The 21,421-nt window shown below is 49.2% G+C and overlaps 2 protein-coding genes, 1 non-coding gene and 1 pseudogene across 7 annotated transcripts in view, besides 11 other annotated features; 3 read left to right on the forward strand and 1 right to left on the reverse strand.

Annotated features, from left to right (window-relative positions):
• RPS29P17 (ribosomal protein S29 pseudogene 17) lies at positions 3,865–4,154 on the forward strand (annotated as a pseudogene).
• Positions 10,122–10,416: a silencer, noted in NCBI's record as "tiled region #2201; K562 Repressive non-DNase unmatched - State 24:Quies". NCBI's record gives its function as "represses a minimal TATA promoter and a strong SV40 promoter by Sharpr-MPRA in K562 cells {active_cell/tissue: K562}" and the evidence as "EXISTENCE:reporter gene assay evidence [ECO:0000049][PMID:27701403]".
• Positions 10,122–10,796: a biological region, named in NCBI's record as "Sharpr-MPRA regulatory region 2201".
• Positions 10,156–10,796: an enhancer, noted in NCBI's record as "H3K27ac-H3K4me1 hESC enhancer chr9:35599043-35599683 (GRCh37/hg19 assembly coordinates)". NCBI's record gives its function as "activates a minimal SCP1, AML or CMV promoter by ChIP-STARR-seq in naive H9 embryonic stem cells {active_cell/tissue: H9 hESC(naive)}" and the evidence as "EXISTENCE:reporter gene assay evidence [ECO:0000049][PMID:30033119]".
• Positions 10,986–11,105: a silencer, noted in NCBI's record as "silent region_19865". NCBI's record gives its function as "represses an Ori minimal core promoter by ATAC-STARR-seq in GM12878 lymphoblastoid cells {active_cell/tissue: GM12878}" and the evidence as "EXISTENCE:reporter gene assay evidence [ECO:0000049][PMID:35858748]".
• Positions 15,608–15,717: an enhancer, noted in NCBI's record as "active region_28326". NCBI's record gives its function as "activates an Ori minimal core promoter by ATAC-STARR-seq in GM12878 lymphoblastoid cells {active_cell/tissue: GM12878}" and the evidence as "EXISTENCE:reporter gene assay evidence [ECO:0000049][PMID:35858748]".
• Positions 16,198–16,447: a silencer, noted in NCBI's record as "silent region_19866". NCBI's record gives its function as "represses an Ori minimal core promoter by ATAC-STARR-seq in GM12878 lymphoblastoid cells {active_cell/tissue: GM12878}" and the evidence as "EXISTENCE:reporter gene assay evidence [ECO:0000049][PMID:35858748]".
• TESK1 (testis associated actin remodelling kinase 1) lies at positions 16,372–21,143 on the forward strand. Of its 2 annotated transcripts, NM_006285.3 has the most exons (10): positions 16,372–16,948; positions 17,094–17,215; positions 17,347–17,395; positions 17,947–18,093; positions 18,437–18,519; positions 18,692–18,782; positions 19,038–19,121; positions 19,270–19,359; positions 19,505–19,619; positions 19,972–21,143. In NM_006285.3, the coding sequence occupies exons 1-10, from the start codon at positions 16,730–16,732 to the stop codon at positions 20,850–20,852; spliced, it is 1,881 nt and encodes a 626-aa protein (NP_006276.2). In that variant the 5' UTR covers positions 16,372–16,729; the 3' UTR covers positions 20,853–21,143. The 2 variants fall into 2 exon arrangements, with proteins under 2 accessions (NP_006276.2, NP_001305159.1); NM_001318230.2 differs by lacking the exon at positions 18,437–18,519.
• Positions 16,478–16,777: a silencer, noted in NCBI's record as "silent region_19867". NCBI's record gives its function as "represses an Ori minimal core promoter by ATAC-STARR-seq in GM12878 lymphoblastoid cells {active_cell/tissue: GM12878}" and the evidence as "EXISTENCE:reporter gene assay evidence [ECO:0000049][PMID:35858748]".
• Positions 16,798–16,967: a silencer, noted in NCBI's record as "silent region_19868". NCBI's record gives its function as "represses an Ori minimal core promoter by ATAC-STARR-seq in GM12878 lymphoblastoid cells {active_cell/tissue: GM12878}" and the evidence as "EXISTENCE:reporter gene assay evidence [ECO:0000049][PMID:35858748]".
• Positions 16,798–17,237: a biological region, named in NCBI's record as "Sharpr-MPRA regulatory region 203".
• Positions 16,902–17,196: a silencer, noted in NCBI's record as "tiled region #203; HepG2 Repressive non-DNase unmatched - State 2:TssF, and K562 Repressive non-DNase unmatched - State 2:TssF". NCBI's record gives its function as "represses a minimal TATA promoter and a strong SV40 promoter by Sharpr-MPRA in HepG2 and K562 cells {active_cell/tissue: HepG2 | K562}" and the evidence as "EXISTENCE:reporter gene assay evidence [ECO:0000049][PMID:27701403]".
• Positions 16,978–17,237: a silencer, noted in NCBI's record as "silent region_19869". NCBI's record gives its function as "represses an Ori minimal core promoter by ATAC-STARR-seq in GM12878 lymphoblastoid cells {active_cell/tissue: GM12878}" and the evidence as "EXISTENCE:reporter gene assay evidence [ECO:0000049][PMID:35858748]".
• MIR4667 (microRNA 4667) lies at positions 19,204–19,269 on the forward strand. Its single transcript, NR_039813.2, has one exon. It is a non-coding gene; the product is annotated as a microRNA 4667 (primary transcript).
• CD72 (CD72 molecule) overlaps positions 21,092–21,421 on the reverse strand; it is a 36,876-nt gene continuing 36,546 nt past the window's right edge. For all 4 annotated transcript variants that reach the window (XM_047424154.1, XM_047424155.1, XM_006716893.3 and 1 more), the window contains one exon: positions 21,092–21,410. In XM_047424154.1, the coding sequence (XP_047280110.1) occupies positions 21,260–21,410 (151 nt within the window). In that variant the 3' untranslated portion in view covers positions 21,092–21,259. The remainder of the gene's footprint in view (positions 21,411–21,421) is intronic.

Genomic DNA, 21,421 nt, shown 5'->3' on the forward strand with positions numbered 1-21,421 from the left:
CTCACGTTATACAAAAATCGCATTATACAAAAAACTTAAGATGGATAAAAGACAAATCTAAGACCTGAAACCATAAAGATTCTAGAAGATAACATCAGAAAAACCCTTCTAGACATTAGCTTAGGCAAAGACTTCATGGCCAAGAACCCAAAAGCAAATGTAACAAAAATAAAGATAAATAGATAGGACTTAATTAAACTAAAAAGCTTCCGCACAGCAAAAGAAATAATCAGCAGAGTTAACAGACAACCCACAGAGTGGGAAAAATTTTTCACAATCTATACATCTGACACAGGACTAATATCCAGAATCTACAAAGAACCCAAACAAATCATCAAGAAAAAAAAAAAAACAAAAAACAATCCCAGGGTCGGGCACGGTGGCTCACACCTATAATCCCAGCACTTTGGGAGGCCAAGGCGGGCAGATCACAAGGTCAGGACTTTGAGACCAGCGTGGCCAACATGGTGAAACCCCGTCTCTACTAAAACACAAAAATTATCTGGGCCTAGTGGTGTGCGCACCTGTAATCCCAGCTACTGGGGAGGCTGAGGCAGGAGAATGGCTTGAACTGAGGAGGCAGAGATTGCAGTGAGCCGATTGTGCTGCTGCACTCCAGCCTGGGTGACAGAGCAAGACTTCGTCTCAAAAAAAAAAAAAAAAAAAAGAAAAGAAAAGTGAAAAACAATCCCATCAAAAAGTGGGCTAAGAACATGAATAGACAGTTCTCAAAAGAAGACATACAAATGGCAAACAAGCATAGGGAAAAATGCTCAACACCATTAAGTATCAGGGAAATGTAAATTGAAACCACAGTGCAATACCACCTCACTCCTGCGAGAATGGCCATAATTAAAAAATCAAAAAATAACAGATGTGGGCTGGGTGTGGTGGCTCACACCTGTAATCCCAGCACTTTGGGAGGCCGAGGTGAGTGGATCACCTGAGGTCCGAAGTTTGAGACCAGCCTGGCCAACATGGTGAAACCCCGTCTCTACTAAAAATACAAAAATTAGCTGGACGTGGTGGTGGGCACCTGTAATCCCAGCTACTCAGGAGCCTAAGGCAGGAGATATCACTTGGACCCAGGTGGCGGAGGGTGCAGTGAGCCAAGATCATGCCATTGCACTCCAGCCTGGGTGACAAGAGCAAAACTCCATCTCAAAATAATAATAATAATAATAATAATAATAATAATAATAATAATTAGACGTCGGCGTGGATGCAGTGAAATGAGAACACTTTTACACTGTTGGTGGGAATGTAAACTAGTACAACCACTAGTTGTACTAGTGTGGAAAACAGTGTGGAGATTCCTTATAGAACTAAAAGTAGAACTACCATTTAATCCAGCAATCCCATTACTAGGTATCTACTCAGAGGAAAATAAGTCATTATACGAAAAAGATACTTGCACAGGCATTTTTAGCAGCACAATTTGCAATTGCAAAAATATGGAACCAGCCTGAATGCCCATCAATCAACCAGTAAAGAAAATGTGTGTGTGTGTGTGTGTGTATATATATATATATACACACACCCCTATATATACGTGTATATATATGTATATGTGTATGTATATATGTGTATACATACATGTCTATATATGTATGTGTATATATATACATACACATGTGTCTACATATGTATGTGTGTGTGTATATATATATATATACATATATATATACACCATGGAATGCTACTCAGCCATTAAAAGAAATGAAATAATGCCATTCACAGCAACCCGGATGGAAATGAAGACTATTATTTTAAGTGAAGTAACTCGGGAATGAAAAACCAAACATCGTATGTTCTCACTTACATGTGGGAGCTAAACAACGAGGACGCAAAGGCATAAGAATGATACCTTGGACTTTGGGGACTCAAGGGAAAGGGTACGGGGTGTCAAGGGATAAAAGACTACACATTGGATACAGTGTACACTGCTCAGGTGATGAGTGCACCAAAATCTCAGAAATCACCACTAAAGAACTTATCCACCTAACAAAAAAAAAAAACCACCTGTTCCCCAAAAACCTACTGAAATAAAAAAAATAAAAATAAACAACAGAAATTGAAACTAAGTGAACAAAAAAGGAGTTTGGTATTCATTCAAAAAGTTAAACATACATGCCTTCTGGCCTAAGAAGTCAGCCATTAATCATATTGTTGTTCCCCTGTACATCATAAGTCATTATTCTTTTGCTACTTTCAACATCTTATCTTTGGCCAGGTGCAGTGGCTCATGCCTGTAATTCCAGCATTTTGGGAGGCTGAGGCAGGTGGACCATTTGAGCCCAGGAGTTCAAGACCAGCCTGGGAAACATAGAACAACCCCATTTCGACAAAAAAAAAAAAAAAAAAAAAAAAAAAAAAAAAAAAAACTTTGTAATTCAACTGTCTGACTGATTGCTTTTAATTTTTATTTATATATTCTTTTTTTGTTTTTAGAGACAGGGTCTCGCTTTGTTACCTAAACTGGAGTGCAGTGGCAGGATCATAACTCACTGCAGCCTAAAATTCCTGGGCTCCAGCAATCCTCCGACCTCAAACTCCTGAGGAGCTGGGACTACAGGTGCATGCAACCACACCTGGCTAATTTTTTTTAAGTTTTATAGAGTTGGGGGTCCCACTCTCACTGCCCAGGTCAGTCTTGAACTCCAGGGCTCAAGCAGTCCTCCCACCTGAGCCTCCCAAAGTGCTGGGATTATAGGCATAAGCTACCCCACCCAGTGATTATTATTGTAATCCCTACAGCAACCACTAAGAAAGTTATTAAATATATATAACAATATATTTATCCTATAAATGCAATGTTGGTTTAACAGAAAATTAATTAATGTAGAAGACTGATGCCACCAAAATAGCAGAGTAGAAGTAATCTGGCTTCACTCCCTCCCACAGAAAACCAAAAACAAATATCCAGGACCAAAATTATCATCAGCAATATCCCAGAACTCAAATATGAGGCTGAGACAATCCCCAGGGACACAGAAGTGGAAAAACTTTGAGCAGATAGAGAAACAGACTTCTCTATCTGTGACAACCCTCACTCAGTTTTCCAGGCACCACACATGGAAAATTGCTCCTGGGTTCACAGTTTCTACACCAGAAAATGTGAGACTGAGGTAGACAACCAGCTTTCCCATCATCTTGCATTCCCTTGCAGGAAAACCATTCCTGCTTCAACCCACAGGAGGCATCACAAGTGCCTGTAGAAGAAAAAATCCCCAAGAACAGCTAGAAACAAAGAGAGGAGACAGGACTAGCAACCCTAGCCCATGTAACTCTGTTCTTCATCTCAGCCAAAGGAGATGCCAAATTAAAGTGACTTCTCAATAGCTCCACACTGTTAAGAGAAATACTCCACAGGTTTTCCGGTCACAAACGCCTAGCCAGCCTCCCCACATTCCCTTTGGGACCTCCCCCTACAACCCCATTTGAGACGGGCAGTGCTCTGAATGTTTGCAAGAGCCAAGGCAAACCTGGGCTTAAGGCACCATCTATTACCAAAAAGGAGATGGTGATCTAGGAATAAGGGGACTCACTGGGCAACTGCAAAGAACCTCTAAGCAAACATACCCTAGAAAGACCTAAACAAGTCAGCCAGTGAAGACTAGAATAAATAACAATCTATTAATGCAAAGCCATAGATGTACATCCACAAAAAAAACAACAGCCAACAGGGAAACCCTAGCTCCCCAAACAAAGAAAGGAGCCAGTGACCAACCCTAAGGAGACAGCAATGTTGAACTCTTAGATCAAGAATTAAAAATAGCAGTTTTAAGGAAACTCAGTGAACTCTGAGATAACACAGAAGAACAATTCAGAAATGTATCAGAGAAACTTAGAAAGACTTTTTAACCTTTTACCTCGTTGCACTCCTGAGAGCAAGATGGGTCACCAGCAGTTGTACTGGAGCCACCTGCGAAAATTCGGCCAGGGTTCTCCCTCTTGTCGCGTCTGTTCAAACCGGCACGGTCTGATCTGGAAATAGGGCCTCAATATGTGCCGCCAGTGTTTCCGTCAGTACACGAAGGATATCGGTTTCATTAAGTTGGACTAAATTATCTTCCTTCAAAGGATTATCCAAGGCATCTGCTCAATGAAAGACCATGATAGTTCTTTGTACATAAAATAAAGATTTGAAAAAAACAACAACAAAAAATACTTTTTAATATATTAAACAGAGGCTGGGTGCAGTAGCTCACACCTGTAATCCCAGCACTTTGGGAGGCCAAGGCGGGTGGATCACCTGAGGTCAAGAATTGGAGACCACCCTGACCAACATGGTGAAACCCCATGTCTACTAAATACAAAAAAATTAGCCGGGCATGGTGGCAGATGCCTGTAATCCCAGCTATTTGGGAGGCTGAGGCAAAAGAATTACTTGAACCTGGGAGGTGGAGGTTGCAGTGAGCCAAGATCACACCACTGCACTCCAATCTAGGCAAAAAGAGCAAAACTGTCTCAAAAAAAAAAATTAAACAGAAATCCTGGAACTGACCAATATATCTGCTGAACTGAAAGATGCATTAGAGGTTCTCCACAGCAGAATGGATAAGCAGAGGAAAAAAATAATTGAGCTTGAAGACATGCTATTTGAAAATACACAGAACAGAAAAAAGAAAAAAGCATGAAAAGGAACAATGAACACCTACAAAATATAAGGAATAACCTCAAAAGTGCAAATCTCAGAGTCATTGGTGTTCAAAAGGGAGTTTAAAAAGAACAAGGGGTACAAACCTTATTCAAAGAAATGATAACACAAAACTTGCCAAACCTAGAGAAAGATATACCCAGGTGCATAGAGGAAACCACACAAGCCAGGAGGGAGTGGGATAACACATTCAGAGTGCTGAAGGAAAAAAAAAAAAAACAAAAAAAACTGTCAACCAAGAATACTATGCCCAGCAAAACTTTCCTTCAGATATGAGAGATAAAAGCTGAGAGAATTCATCACTATTAGTTCCATCTTACAAGAAATGCTAAAGAGAATTCTTCAATCTAAAAGAAAAGGATACTAACATGAAAAAAGAAAACATTTGAAGGCAAAAAACCCACTGGTAAAAGTAAGTACATAGATACATTCAGAATAGTTTAATATTGTGGCCAGGCAGGGTGGCTCACGCCTGTAATCCCAGCACTTTGAGAGGCCGAGGTGGGTGGATCACTTGAGTCCAGAAGTTCGAGACAAGCCTGGCCAACACGGTGAAACCCTGCCTCTACTAAAAATACAAAACTTAGCTGGGCGTGGTGGCATGCACCTGTAATCCCAGCTACTTGGGAGGCTGAAGCAGGAGAATCGCTTGAACCCAGGAGGGGAGGTTGCAGTGAGCCAAGATTGCGCCACTGCACTCCAGCCTGGGCAACAGAGTAAGATTCTGTCTAAAAAAAAAAAAAAAGTTAATATCATAATTCATAATTGTGATGTATGATCCATTCATACCTCTAAGTGGGAAGACTAAAAGACAAATCTATCCAAAATAATAACTACAGTAACCTGTTAAGAGATAGGCAACATAAAAAGATGTAAATTGAGAAAATGTGATATACCATAGTTTAGAAATATAGGCAACATAAAAAGATGTAAATTGAGAAAATGTAATGTACCATAGTTTAGAAATATTTTCTCCCTTCCAACCTTTATAGAAAGAGTGTATTTCGGGCTTGGCCACATGACTTCCTTTGATCATTGCAATGGTGGCAGGCATGATGTGACCCAAAAACATGAAAAGCAGTTGCACAACTGTGCTTATCTTCTTTCCCTTCTTCTATCACCGTAAGATCATTCCCGGCTATCCTGCTGGTGCCAGGAGGAGTATGACAGACAGGTGGAGCAGAGCAAAACCTCTCTAGCCAATTCTCATTTAGAATGCCAACTCCAGTCAATCCGCAGATTTATAAGAATAAATGATTGTTGTTTCATGTTACTGAGTTTGTTTTGTTTTGTTTTTGAAATGGAGTCTCATTCTGTCACCCAGGCTGGAATGCAGTGGCATGATCTCGGCCCACTGCAACCTCTACCTCCCAGATTCAGGTGATTCTCCTGAGCATTCTGCCTCCCGAGCAGCTGGGATTACAGGTATGCACCACCACACCCAGCTAATTTTTGGGGTTTTTTTTTTTTGTTGTTGTTGTTGTTTGTATTAGAGAGAGGGTTTCACCATGTTGGCCAGGCTGGTCTTGAACTCCTGAACTCAAGTGATCCACTGGCCTTGGCCTCCCAAAGTGCTGGGATTACAGGCATGAGCCGTTGCGCCCAGCCAACTGAGTTTTGATATGGTTAGTTATGTGGCATTCTTGTGGTAACAGTTAATTGGCATAGGTAGTGACCAAGAAACAGTAAACATCATACTTAATAGTAAACCATTAAAAACATTATTTGGCTGGGCACAGTGGCTCATGCCTGTAATCCCAGCACTTTGGGAGGCTAAGGCAGGTGGATCACTTGAGCCCAAGAGTTCAAGACTAGCCTGAGCAAAACAGTAAAACCCTCTCTCTGGCAAAAAAAAAAAAAAAAAAAAAAATAGCCAGGCCTGTGGTACACACCTGTAGTCCCAGCTACTTGAAAGGCTAATGTGGAAGGATTACTTGAGCCTGGGAAGTGGAGGTTGCAGTGAGCTGAGATCATGCCAATGTACTCCAGCCTGGGTGACAGAGCAAGACCCTGTCTCAAAATATAACAAGATAAGAGTATCTATTGTCACATTCACTCAAAATTGTATTGAAGATCTTAGGCAAGGAAATGGAAATTAAAGGTATAAAAATGAGAATGAAAGAAATAAAATTACAGGAAAGATGTTACGTTTGATTCTGTGATGGCAGAGGGTTTTGAGCAGAGGTAAAATGATCTGACTTACATGTTTAAAAGAGTATTCTGACTGCTGTATAGAGAATAGGCTGAATGGGGGCAAAGGCATAAACAGGAAGACCAAAAAGGAGGCTACTGCAACAATCCAGGCAAAAGACCTGATGGCTTAGATTGGGTCAGAGGTAGTGGAAATGTCAGAAGTAGTCAGGTTATGCATAGATTCCAAAGGTACAGCTATATGCTTTGCTGATGGGCTGGCTATGGGGTAGAAAGAAAAGAGTCAAGGATAATTCTGAATTTTCTTGCCTGAGCATCTAATACATTGGATTTATTTATTTATTGTTTTGTTTTTTTGAGGCAGAGTTTCACTCTTATTACCCAGGCTGGAGTGCAATGGCGCAATCTCGGCTCACTGCAACCTCTGCCTCCCAGGTTCAAGCGATTCTCCTGCTTCAACCTCCTGAGTAGCTGGGATTACAGGTGCCCACCACCACACCCGGCTAATTTTTTGTATTTTTAATAAAGACGGGGTTTTGCCACTGTGGCCAGGCTAGTCTCGAACTCCTGACCTCAGGTGATCCTCCCACATCGGCCTCCCAAAGTGCTGGAGTTACAGGCATGAGGCACCATGCCTGGCCGCTGCATTGGATTTATTGAGATAGGGAAGAGAGAGAAAAAGGTGGAGAAGAGGGGCAGGAATCGAGAGTTCTGTTTTGGGCTAGGTGCAATGGCTCATGCTTATAATCCCAGCACTTTGGGAGGCCAAGGCAGGAGGGTGGCTTGAGCCCAGGAGTTTAGAACCTACCTGGGCAATATAGGGAGACCCTGTCTCTACCAAAAATTTAAAAATTAGCCAGGCATGATGGCACATGCATGTAGTCCCACCTATTGGGAGGTTAAGGTGGGAGAATTGCTTGAGCCCAAGAGGGCATGGCTGCAGTGAGCTGTGATTGTACCACTGCACTCCAGCCTGGACAACAAAGTAAGACCATCTCCGAAAATGTAAAAAAAGAAAATTATTTTTTGTACCCATTGATTTTGAAAAGCCAATTAGATATATCCAAGTGAAAATGATGGCCAGGAGCAGTGGCTAATGCCTGTAATCCTAGCACCTTGGGAAGCTGAGGCAGGCAGATCACTTGAGGTCAGGAGTTCAAAACCAGCCTGGCCAACATGGTGAAAGCCCGTCTCTACTAACAATTAAAAAAAAAAATTAGCCAGGCATGGTGGCAAGCCCCTGTAATCCCAGCTACTCAGGAGGCTGAGGCAGGAAAATCACTTGAACCCAGGAGGTGGAGGTTGCAGCAAGCCGAGGTCACATCACTGTACTCCAGCCTGGGCAACACAGCAAGACTCCATCTCAAAAAAAAAGAAAAGAAAAAAAGAAAATGATGAGTAAGCAACTGAACATAGGAATCTAGAGTTCAGAGGAAAGGTTTGGGCAAGGGAGAGAAAACGGAAGTCATCAGCAAGTAGATAGCATTTAAGGCCTTAGAGTTAATGAAATGACCCACAATGTGTATGTAGAGGGAGAAGAGAAGAGATCCAATGACAGAGCCCTGTGTATTCCACTGTTTAGAGGTCAGGAAGCTGAAGAAGAACCAGCAAAAGAGACCTGGGAGAAGGAGCCAGTGAAATATGAGGAGAATCAAGAAACCAAATGAAGAAAGTGATTCAAGATACGGTATTATGTTTTCATAGAAAATGACCTTAGGAGACACTGCTAATGATTTTGAAATGAGGATGACACCTTCAACATACTTTTTTTTTTTTTTTTTGAGACGGAGTCTTGCTCTATTGCCCAGGCTGGAGTGCAGTGGCACAATCTCGGCTCACTGCAACCTCTGCCTCCCGGGCTCAAGCAATTCCCTGCCTCAGCCTCCGGAGTAACTGGGATTACAGGCATGGGCCACCGCACCTGGCCTCGACATATTTTCAAATGCTACAATAAGATTTATATTATAGGCCGGGTGCGGTGACTCACACCTGTAATCCCAACACTTTGGGAGGCTGAGACGGGCAGATCACGAGGTCAGGAGTTTGAGACCAGCCTGGCCAACATAGTGAAACTCCATCTCTAGTAAATATACAAAAACTAGTCGGGCATGGTGGCAAGCGCCTGTAGTCCCAGCTACTCAGGAGGCTGAGGCAGGAGAATCACTTGAACCCAGGAGGCAGAGGTTGTGGTAAGCCAAGATCATGCCACTGCATTCCAGCCTGGGCAACGGAGCAAGACTCTGTCTCAAAAAAAAAAAAAATTATATTGTATTATTACTATTATATGTTATACCTATTCTATATTAGAGAGAACTAATAGGACAAAATGTTAACAATTGTTGGATTTACATGAATGATGTACAGGTGTTCATTATGCATTCCTTCAACTTTTCTGCATGTTTGAATTTTTTCATAATAAAGAGATTAGGGTGACTGTTTTTGAGGGTTTGAGACAGGGTCTTGCTCTGTCGCCTGGGCTGGAGTGCAGTGGCAGCATTATGGCTTACTGCAGCTTCAACCTCTTGGGCTCAAGGATTCCTCCTACCCCAGCCTCCCATGTAGCTGGGACCACAGGCATGCACCACCACTCCTGGCTAATTTTTTGATGTTTTGTAGACAGGGGGCCTCACTTCATTGCTCAGCTTTGTCTCAAACTCCTGGGCTCAAGTGATCCTCCTGCCTCAGCCTCCCAAAGTGCTGGGATTACAGGCATGAGCCCCCATGCCCAACATGGGGATACTATTTTGAGAATAATGAGTAATCAACCACATTCATTTAACTGCTTTTAAGGTCAATAACTTTATATTCCTCTAATACCCAGGTTGTGGTATCCAAACACCATTTCCCACTAAAAAAGACCATGAATCACTGGGGAAAAAAAGTAGCTGATACCAGCTCTGGTCTAGATATGCACAAAATGAGTCCAGAACATTTTATCATATTGGATAGCAAGAAAACTGGAAATTTATGTCAGAAGGACTCAGGAACTAACTTGAATAAGTTCCCACTGGCCAAAATAGGACAGTTTTGGCCAGTGGGAACAAAATAGTGATGGCAGCAGCAGGCTGTCTGCAGTGGCTGCTGCCATCATGCCAGCTGCAGCAGGGAGGCATGGCCAGGGCTGCACATTCCATGGAGCCAACAGGAGCTGGGGACAAGCGGGATCCTTGTCCCTTCCAAGTTGGGGTGGGAGCTCCCTGGGTGCTGCTGCAGCCGCCCAAGCCACGGCTGTGGACCCAGGCATCCCTGTGCTTTCAGGACCGGGAGCAGACAGGAGCCCTACCTTTCCAGGCGCAGCTGCAGCCACCCAAACCACAGCTGCAGACTCAGGCCTCCTGCTCAGCAGAGCAGGCAGGAGCCCCGCCCCTGCCAGGTGTAGGTGCAGCCACTCAAAGAGTGGCTGCAGACTCAGGAATCCCTGCCCTCTTGGGGCCCCAGAAGGCCTCACAGGCTCAGAAATTCCTGCTCCAACTGCCTGGCTTCTTCCTGCTGTTGGTGCCCACTCCAATCTCAGAACAAAGTCCGAGCAGAGCCTGGGCACTGTCACAGCCTGGCCGAGTGTGCACATACTCGGAGCAGTGCTGACACACCAGTCCCCTGCTGCTTTGGTCCCCTACAGATTTTGGGTGCCAATGAGCATAGGAGGGAAGCCAAGTGGGGTCTGAAGGCAGCTCAGCACTGGCCTGCAGGCGCCTCTTGGCACCTACAGCCTGGGCACCATGAATGGCAGCAGGAGGCAGACAGGCTTCTGAGCGGATGGGGCAGGTCCCTGGTAAGGCCCCACTTTCAGGCCAGGGAGGGCCTGAAGGCTGGGGACCGGGCTGCCCATCACACTATGGGAGTGGGAACTTGTGGTGACACTTCCAGGCCCACCCATGGCTGCCCAGGACCAACTGGCATGCACTTCCTCCCCTCTAAGGCCCATAAAAGCCCAGGCTCTGAGCAGACGTCAGGACAATCAGCTGCAGAGAGGAGCTACCCACACCAAGGCCTCCTCTCTGTGAGAGCCGCAGATGTTGGGACAACCAGCTGCAGAGAGGAGCAACCAACTTTGGGGCCTCCTCTCTGCTGAGAGCTGCAGAGACTACAGGATGACATACCTGCAGAGAGAAGCCACCCACTCTAGGGCCTCCCCTCTGCTGAGAGCTGCACAGATGACAGGACAACCAGCTGCAGAGAGACGCTACCCTCCCTGCTGATAGCTGAACACTTGTCAGGACGACTTGCCTAGCAGAGAGGAGCTACCCTCTCTGCTAGGAGCTGAACATGCCTCAGGACACCCCTGCTAGGGAAAGGAGCTGCCCCCTGCAGGTTTCTTTTGAGCTGTTCTATTGCTCAATAAAGCTACTCTTTGTCTTGCTCACTCTTCACTTGTCTGCGTACCTCATTCTTCCTGTCGCAGGACAAGAACTCAGGACCCACCAAATGGTGAGGCTAAAAGAGCTGTAACAAACGGGGGTGAGACATGACCCTTGCTTGCCACGTTGTGGGTGAAGGCAAGGAAAGAAGAACTGCAGCCCTTCGGGGAGCCTAGCCCTGGGAGCTCCCCAAGCCAGGGCTGTGACTTCCTCTTTGAGGACCTGCTGTTCCTGGCATCTCCAAGCTTCCAGGCACCAATGTGTCCCCCAGTGCCAGCTGTGGAAGCTGCTTGCCATGTGCCTGGTCCGGCCGCAGGCTTGCAGGGAAATGGTGCCATGCTGGCACCTGGAACTGCCCGCCCCACTGCAGCACCCGGAATGTCTGACTGTGCACAGTGGCTGGACCCAATGCTCACTCACATACCCCTAACTGTTCCACGCCTGTCTCACCCTTGGCAGGCATGGGACCCAGGCTGGTAGCGTGAGCCAAGCACAGGCTGCCAGGCTGGGTAGGCGAAACAAGCCCAGAGGGCCTGAGCAAAACTGGGGCAAAAGCACCACCAGCCACAGAGGTTTCTGGCCAGAAAAAGGACGCCCCAAAGATCCCGTAACAATAGGACAAGCACCAAAAATGATAACTGGGCGCAGTGGCTCACGCCTGTAATCCCAGCACTTTGGGAGGCCAAGGCAGGAGGATCACCTGAGGTCAGGAGTTTGAGACCAGCCTGGCCAACATGGTGAAACTCTGTCTCTACTAAAAATACAAAAATCAGCCGGGCGTGGTGACAGGTGTCTGTAATCCCAGCTACTCAGGAGGCTGAGACAGGGGAATCGCTTGAACCTGGGAAGCGGAGTTTGCAGTGAGCCGAGATCACACCACTGCACTCTAGCCTGGGTGACAGAGCAAGACTCCATCTCAATCAATCAATCAATCAATAACTGGGCTGGGTGCAGTGGCTCATGTCTGTAATCCCAGCACTTTGGGAGGCCAAGGCAGGAGGATCACTTGAGGCCAGGAGTTTGAGACCAGCCTGGGCAAAACATGGTGAGACCCTGTCTCTACAAAAAAATTAAAAATTAGCCAGGTGTGATGGCACGTGCTTGTAGTCCCAGTTACTTGGGAGGCTGAGATGAGAGAATCACTTGAGCCCGGGAGGTCAAGGTTGCAGTGAGCTTTGTGCCACTGCACTCCAGCCTGAAAAAGAGTGAGACCCGTCTCAAAAAGAAAAAAAAGATAACTAGCAATAATTGAGTATATCACATATGTGTTAAATTATGAGTTCATAATGGTACTTTAAAAAAAACCTCATCGGTCAACTTTGGAAGATGCTGGGGAACCAACTCATTACTTTGAAAGCTGGTAAAATAAGTGAGAAACAATCAAGTATTTATTCTGCCTTTCCTAGGAAATGTATCTCTGTGTAACAAATAGTTAATGTGGAAAAGTTTCTCCTTATAGAATTATTCTACCTAATACTTCTATAGGAATTCATTCAAAGAAGGAATGATAATATTATTTTCTAACTTTTTATTTATTTTGAGACAGGGTCTTGCTATGATGCCCAGGCTGGACTCGAACTCCTGGGCTCAAGCAACCCTCTCGGCTCAACTTCCCATGTAGTTGGGACTATAGTCGCGTGCCACCATGCCCAGCTTTAACTCCTCTATTAATGAACCTAGACCAGTGGTTCTTATTCAGGGTCAATTTTGTCCCCCAGAGGACAAATGGCAATGTCTAGACACATTTTTTTATTGTTACAGTCAGGAGGAGGTGCTACTGGCATCCATTAGGTAGAGGCCAGAGATGCTGCTAAGCATCCTACAATACACAGGACAGCCCCTACAATAAAGAATTTTCCAGCCCAAAATGTCAATAGTGCCACGGTTGAGAAACAAATATCAGTTATTAAAATCACAAAAAGACCACCACTGTATACCTCCTGTATACCTCCTGATAGAAGTGCTAAAACCATCTACAAATTAGTTTTGCCAAAAGAAATCTAAATTTGATTAAGTTACCAATTTATATCAAATACAGAGGATGGAGGAACATGCTAAATTACCACAGAAATCAAGACTCTAAGAAACTCTACAGGACAAATGAACCAGTTTTAAAAAATAGTAAGAAAAAAGATGGAGAATAAGCATAGATCTGCAAAGACTTAAGAAACATATGGCTGGGTGTGGTGGCTCACACCTATAATCCCAGCACTTTGGGAGGCCAAGGCGAATGGAATGCTTGAGCCCAGGAGTTGAGACCAGCCTGGGCAACGTGGCAAACCCCATCTCTACAAAAATACAAAAATTAGACAGGTGTGGTGGTACCCACACCTCAGTAGTCCCAGCCACTCAGAAGGCTGAGGCAGGATTGCTTGAGCCTCGGGGGTGGAGGTTGCTGTGAGCCGAGATCAACCCACTGCACTCCATCCTGGGTGATAGAGCCAGACCCTGTCTCACAAAAAGAGAGACAGACAGACAGACATATCACCTGCAAAGTACAGACCTAATTTAGATTTTGATTCAAATAAACAATTTTTAAAAATCAAACGTAAGACAGTGAGGGAAATGTAAACAACTGGATGCTTGATGACATGAAGGAACTATTGTTTTTTTTTGGTGTGACAATACTGTGATTTGGTTTTAAAGAAGAATCCTTATCATTTAGAGATAACGTACTGAAACATTTACAGGATGAAATGATATGTCAGAAATATACACAAATATGGAGTGGGGAAGAGGGCACGGGTATAGATGAAACAAGATTGGCCATGAATTGCTCATTGGAGAATCACTGACATAGAAGGGTAAATGAAAGTAGGTACTTTCACCTGGGCCAGGTCAAATATGGCAACAGTACAACTGAGGCAAAGGAAAGCCAATTTTGCACTATGGGTTTCCAACAAAATGGTCTTACTAATCCAAGGTAAATAAACATTCATTTTTCTATTCTGTGTGTGTGTGTTAAGACATTTTCCACCATACAAACAACAACAAAAGGTTTTTTTGAGACAGAGTCCCGCTCTTGTCGCCTAGACAGGAGTGTAATGGCGCGATCTTGGCTCACTGCAACCTCCGCCTCCCGGGTTCAAGCGATTCACCTGCCTCAGATTCCAGAGTAGCTGGAATTACAGGCGCTCGCCACATCAGGCTAATTTTTTTGTATTTTTAGTAGAGACGGGGTTTCACTACGTTGGCCAGGCTGGTCTCATCCTTTCCTGATTGAACCACAGTCACAGCCTCCTTCCTAATCAGTCTCCCGGCCTCCATACAACCACCGCAATCATCTTACAAAAAATAGGCACCTGGCTCTTTGGCTTGGCATTACCATCACCAACTACTACAGTAATTCTCAAACGTGATAAAGGGCCAGAACCCAGTGTCGGTTAAAAGATCTATGATATTAAACAAAATGAGGCATAAATTCCTAGTGTTTACAGATGTCATACAATAAAAAGCAAATTCACAAATTAGTTGTAGATGTTAACATTAATGTGATGAATGAGCGTGTGCTGAAGACCAAACGCCTCCAGAAAAAAGAACAGGATGCACGTGCCCCGTGCAATTCTGTGAGGTTGGCCTGCCTCCACCGGCTGTGGAAGGATTGCGAATGTCTCCCATTCCTCTCGCTCCAAACTTGTGCAATACCTTCCCTTGTACAGCGCACCAAGACAGCATCTGGCCTTCTCTTGACTCTAAGGCATCATGTATCATTTATGACCGTCTTTATTCTTTTCTCAGTAGCCCTCGACAAGCGAGTAGTATTTCTTGGCTCCAAGTCTCATAAACGTGTAACCAGACTCCATTGGAAGACGGTAACCCCACGCGATACGGACTGTGCTTGTATTAATTCTCTTTTAAGCTTACTACAGAAATATCAATACAGTACTTGAGAATTCCTGCAGGACTCAGCCTCGCTTCCTCGAGGAGCTCTCAGCCTGCCTCCGCACTCGAGACGGCAGCTTTCTCTCCCTCCGCCCACCGTTCCGCCGCTAGGTGGCAGGCGGCTCAACGACGCCCTTTTAAACCGTTTGCCCCGGAGTGGACCGCCGGGATCGCGTGTCACCACCCAACCCTAGCGATGATTGGCTATTTCGCCGAGGCCGGAGGAGGAACCAGCGGCAGAACCGGAAGCGTCTGGTACGGCGAGTGCACGGAGTCCTGAGACTGCGTGCGCACCCAGGCACCGCGCCGACTTAAAGAGGCCAGTTGCAGCCCCTCCTCCGGCCTTAGGGGGCAGACCGTGTTCCTACGTGGAGGGCGGAACCCTCACACTGAGGAGGGCTGGGTCACACTGAGGGGAGGAGTCACCTTGAGAGGAGGGGTCACAATGACTAGTGGATTTCCTCGGAGGTGGGGTCTCACTGCGTGGGAGGAACACAGAGCAAGGGGGTGCAGCACTGAGGGGTTCTGACACACTGACGGTGGCAGTGCCACACTGGGGAAAAGTGCCCCCGAAAGGGAGGTGTCTCACTGAGGAAGGGAGGGGTCTCCGAGGGACAGCGTTCTTTGAGGGGGGTGGGATCTTGCGGAAGGACGGGCTTCCCTGCAGGTGGAGGCTTCTCTCTTAGAGTCTTTTGGGCAAAGTAGTAAGAGGGAGGTCCCGGCTGGGTGGTCACAGGGCGGAGGACCTGGACTCTCTTCTTTATTGGGAGGCGGCAGGATGAAGTGAGGAGGAGTCGGGGCTAAGCTGGGTATGGGCCGGCCAAAGGCTTCCTATAGCCCCGGGGTATCACAACCTCCCGTGAAGGTAGAAGGTGTTAGGGAGGCCAGAGGTTCAAGGTGTCGGAGTCGAAGAGACCTGGGAAATGGGCAGGCTGGGCCGGGGCGCAGGCCAGGAAGGTGGACAGGTTGCTAGGCTACCTCTGATTGCGGCTGGGCCTGAGGGGCCTACCTTTCTGCCCCGTTGGTCCCTGGAGCCCAGGAATCCGGCAGGTTTCTGAGCCCGACCCTCAACGGACAGTAACCCAGGGAGGAGAGGGGACTCCCTGGGCAGCTAAGCTTCGCATGCGCACCATCAGCCCTTAATTCCCTCCCGTTATTCAAGCTCAGGCCGGAGCTTATTTGACCCGGGCGGCCCAGGGCATCGCGGCCGGAAAGCGGGGAGGCGGGGGTGCGCACCTGAGGGGGCGTGGCCGCTGCCGGGAGGCCGGGCTGGAAGGAGTTAAGCGGAGGCCCGGCCCAGCCCCGCCCCCGGCAGGCCGCGGAGCCTGATCCCCGGCGGCTAAGCGGAGCAGCCGCCGCCCGCCCGCCCGCCCGCCTCCGCCCGCGGCAAGCCAGCCCGCCGGCGCCCCGGAGCGCTGCCGCCACCGTCACCGCCACCGCCCGGTCCAGGCCCAAGCCCAGGCCCTGCGCGGAGCGGAGCGGCGCGGCGTCCACCCGGGCCCAGCCAGCCGGCGCGGCGGGGGCGGGTCCAGGATCTTCGGCGGATCTTCCATTCTCAGGGCGGGAGCCGGAGTCCGGGCGCCCGGGATCGGGCTGGGCCCGCGCCCATGGCAAGCGCGGCCTGCCCGGGCCCTGGGGACCCTGCCATGTGAGGCAGGCCCGGGCTGGGGGCCCGGCCATGGCCGGGGAACGGCCCCCACTGCGGGGCCCTGGGCCCGGGCCTGGAGAGGTGCCGGGGGAGGGGCCCCCGGGGCCGGGGGGCACGGGCGGAGGCCCGGGCCGGGGCCGCCCCTCCTCCTACCGGGCTCTCCGCAGCGCCGTGTCTAGCCTGGCGCGTGTGGACGATTTTCACTGCGCGGAGAAGATCGGGGCCGGCTTCTTCTCTGAGGTCTACAAGGTAGGACCGGCCGAGAGGGCAGAGGGGCGGGACCGAGCCTTCAACCAGAGGCTGAAACTAGGGGGCCGGGAGTGCGGGGAAGAGGGTCCAGACTCCGGCGACCCGCCCGACCTGCCCGGCCCTCGCCGGCTGCTCCTGCCCCCAGGTTCGGCACCGACAGTCAGGGCAAGTCATGGTGCTGAAGATGAACAAGCTCCCCAGTAACCGGGGCAACACACTACGGGAAGTGCAGCTGATGAACCGGCTCAGGCACCCCAACATCCTAAGGTGAGCGGCCCCAGTCTCTGGGCAGCTTGCTGGGCGGGAGAGAAAGGGAAAGATCCCGCGGGAAAAGTGGAACTGAGGAGGAGCTGAGGCCTTTAATAGCCTATCCTTCTATCTTCCCCATCCTCTTGCAGGTTCATGGGAGTCTGTGTGCACCAGGGACAGCTGCACGCTCTTACAGAGGTGAGGATAGGCCAGGAAGGAGGGATCCCCACCCCCCTTCACCCCCAAGGATAAAGGGAGTCAACAGGCCTGGTGGATCTACGGAGGACTAGTGAGAGGCAACAGGATCTCCTCTCAGGGGAGGCTTTCCTGAACTTTCCTTTAGGCAAACCACATATAAAAGGCCTCAACTGGTCTTATTCTCTGTATCCCCTAGAACAGTGCTGTCCAATAGAATTTTCTTCAGTGACGGAAATGTTCTCTATCTGTGCTGTCCAATACAGTAGCCACTAGCCACATGTGGTTAAATTTAAATTATTTTCATTGTTTAGATTATTTTTTGTGGGTCAACTTGATTAAAAAATTTTTTAAATTATTTAAATTGTTGCACATGGCTAATGGCTATTGAGTTGAACGGGGCAATCCTAGAACATGGATGGGGGGGGTCCTACAGCACAGTCTTACCCCTATGACCTCTGTGATCCTCGGGAGTGTCCCCTAGCGTGTAAGTGGGGGACCTAGAATACAGACTGAAGTCTGACATCTATTCCCATTCTCCTCCTATGCACCAGTATATGAATGGGGGGACATTGGAACAGCTGCTCAGCTCCCCTGAACCCCTGTCCTGGCCGGTCAGGCTCCACCTGGCCCTGGACATTGCCCGAGGCCTGCGGTACCTGCACTCCAAAGGTGTATTTCACCGCGACCTCACATCCAAGGTAGGCTAGCAGGGTGGGTGGAGACATGAAAGAGGGTTTGAGGCTATTAGGTTGTAACTGGCCTGTGGATGTTGGAATATGGATAACAGATATATTAGGATGTTGGAGTGGCAAGGCATTGGAGAATATTGGGGGACCAGGGTGAGGGGAGTGCTCGGAGGGACTGAGTAGCACCCTGTGTTTGGAGTGTTGGATGATGTTGCAATATTGAAGTGCCTTGAAAAACTGGGAGAGCAGAGAGGGTTGGAGTTATGCTGGAGTGACAGGGCTTTGGGTTATACATTGGGAGGCCAGACAGCAGAAGGTGATGAGTGCGTGGGGATACTATGTGTGTGTGTGTCAGAACTGTCTAGTCCGACGGGAAGATCGAGGCTTCACCGCTGTCGTGGGTGACTTCGGGCTGGCCGAAAAGATTCCTGTGTATAGGTGAGATGAATGTCCCTGTTCCCCCCAAATCTCCCAGAGTGCCCCTATCTGATGTCCCCAGAGCCCCAGGGATGTTTCCCTTGGGGAACGGAGGGAGTTCACCTCATCCCCTTTTGCCTGGGGGGGATGCCTGAATAGGATGCTTCTGACCACTCTGCCCCTGCCCCTGCAGGGAGGGGGCAAGGAAGGAGCCATTGGCCGTGGTGGGCTCCCCATACTGGATGGCTCCAGAGGTGTTACGGGGTGAGCTGTATGATGAGAAGGTGAGACATCAACCCTTCAGATCCCCAAGGCCTTCCGAGACCCTTGAGGTATTCTCATAAAGCCCCATCCATCCCCAAAACAACCCTACCAGATCTTCAGGAGTCCCCAAGATCCCTTTGCCCCTCACAGGCACCCTTCTAACACATGAAAACTGTCAAGATCCCCCACCCTCAACCAAATTCTGCTATATTCTGTCAAAATTCTGAAATGAAAACTGTTAATTCTTCCCCGACACTATTATCTCTGACCCCCAGGCTGATGTCTTTGCCTTCGGGATTGTCCTCTGTGAGCTCATCGCCCGAGTACCTGCAGACCCTGACTACCTACCACGCACTGAGGTGAATGTTTCTAGGTTTGCAAAGAAAGAATTCCAGACTAGCTGGCTCATAACCAAGGAGGATTCCCTAGAGGTTGAGGTTCTGACTGGGGAGCAGAAGGAGAACCCAAGAAAAGCTGACTTGGAGGTCCCTCCTTCTGTCCCCACAGGACTTTGGCCTGGATGTGCCTGCTTTCCGAACTCTGGTGGGGGATGACTGCCCACTGCCTTTCTTGCTCCTGGCCATCCACTGCTGCAACGTAAGAGCCTCACACTCCTTCCTGCCCCACCCTGCCCCCATCCGTAAGCTGCCATGGCTGCCCTGTGGGACCCAGGTGATGGGAGGAAACTCAGAGACCCTCTTTCGGAGCACTGAGTGAAGCCGTTCCTGTCTCTACCCATCAGCTGGAACCCAGCACCCGTGCCCCCTTCACCGAAATTACCCAGCACCTGGAATGGATCCTGGAGCAGCTGCCTGAGCCAGCCCCACTCACCAGGACCGCCCTGACACACAATCAGGGTAAGGGAGCCTGACCTTGATCCAGCTTGAGTCCTTTGGCCTTTGTCCTCCCTAGAATTCAGAGGTGACATGGGGGAGGCTAAGTATATTTATTAGTTGAAAAGGCTGGGGGTCGGGCTGGGGTAGGGTGGGAGGACATCTCCAAGAAGACAGTTTCCTAATGCTAAAGCTTGAGGGAGAGGAGGGGAAAGAAGTAAAAGGGGCCTGGAGATGACATCACCCCTTTCCAAAGCACCAGGTGGGACTCCCTTTTTCAAGCTCTAGTCCCACCAGCCTCCTGGAGAATAGTGAGGCCCTCAAGGAGCTGTGATCAAATGCTGAGGACAGTGATTCCAGACTTCTCTATCTACAGGCTCTGTTGCAAGAGGGGGTCCCTCTGCCACGCTTCCCAGGCCAGATCCCCGGCTTTCCCGAAGCCGGTCAGACCTCTTCCTGCCCCCATCACCAGAATCACCCCCCAACTGGGGGGACAATCTGACTCGAGTCAACCCCTTCTCACTACGGGAAGACCTCAGGGGTGGCAAGATCAAGCTCTTAGACACACCCAGCAAGCCAGTCCTGCCTCTTGTGCCACCATCACCATTCCCATCCACTCAGCTGCCCTTGGTGACCACTCCGGAGACCCTGGTCCAGCCTGGGACACCTGCCCGCCGCTGCCGCTCACTACCCTCATCCCCCGAGCTCCCCCGCCGTATGGAGACAGCACTGCCAGGTCCTGGCCCTCCCGCTGTGGGCCCCTCGGCTGAAGAGAAGATGGAGTGCGAGGGCAGCAGCCCTGAGCCGGAACCTCCAGGGCCAGCGCCCCAGCTGCCTCTGGCTGTGGCCACAGACAACTTCATCAGCACCTGTTCCTCGGCCTCCCAACCCTGGTCCCCTAGATCAGGACCCGTCCTCAATAACAATCCCCCAGCTGTGGTGGTGAACTCCCCACAAGGCTGGGCTGGGGAGCCCTGGAACCGGGCCCAGCATAGCCTGCCCCGGGCGGCAGCCCTGGAGCGGACAGAACCCTCGCCACCCCCTTCAGCTCCCCGGGAGCCCGATGAGGGGCTGCCCTGTCCTGGCTGCTGCCTCGGCCCCTTCAGCTTTGGCTTCCTGTCCATGTGCCCCCGCCCCACACCAGCTGTTGCCCGCTACCGCAACCTGAACTGTGAGGCGGGCAGTCTCCTCTGCCACCGAGGGCACCACGCCAAGCCACCCACACCCAGCCTGCAGCTGCCTGGGGCACGCTCTTAGCAGTGGAGCCCGTGGTCTCAGGCCTCCAACTTTGGCCTTCAGGACACCCTGTAAGAACAGAGCACACTTGCTGGACAGTGCCAGTTCCAGATGGGCTGACCGGCTCTTCTCCCCGTGTAGGGGAGCCCCAGCATGGACTCAAGGGACAGAGCACTTCCAGTCGACCCCCCGGCTCGCGTTCCCGTGGGGATCACTGAACCAGACACAGCATTGCTGACACATGAGACTAACACGTGCAATTATTTAAAAAGATTTCAATAAAACTGCCTGGCTGGCTCCGGGCCGCCCCTATCCGCTCAGCCCGTGCGCCCTCCTCCCCCACCCCATTCTACCATGGGAAGTTCTTGGGGGGAGGCCAAAGTCCCTTCTAGAGGTGGCTTCACCCTTTTCCCAGGAACAGTCCAGTTTCAGGAAGAGGGAGCAGGCAGCAGACTGGCTGGAAGTGTCAGGTGTGGGTCAGCCGGTGGCTGGGCACTGCCCAGAATGAAGGAGATGGTCTGAGGAACCCCAGGCCTCAGGTTAGGAAGGAGGGGCACAGGTTCTTGTTGGCATGAGTGTCTGGAAAAGTA

Source organism: Homo sapiens, chromosome 9, assembly GCF_000001405.40.
Source record: "Homo sapiens chromosome 9, GRCh38.p14 Primary Assembly".
NCBI classification, from domain to species: Eukaryota; Metazoa; Chordata; class Mammalia; order Primates; family Hominidae; genus Homo; species Homo sapiens.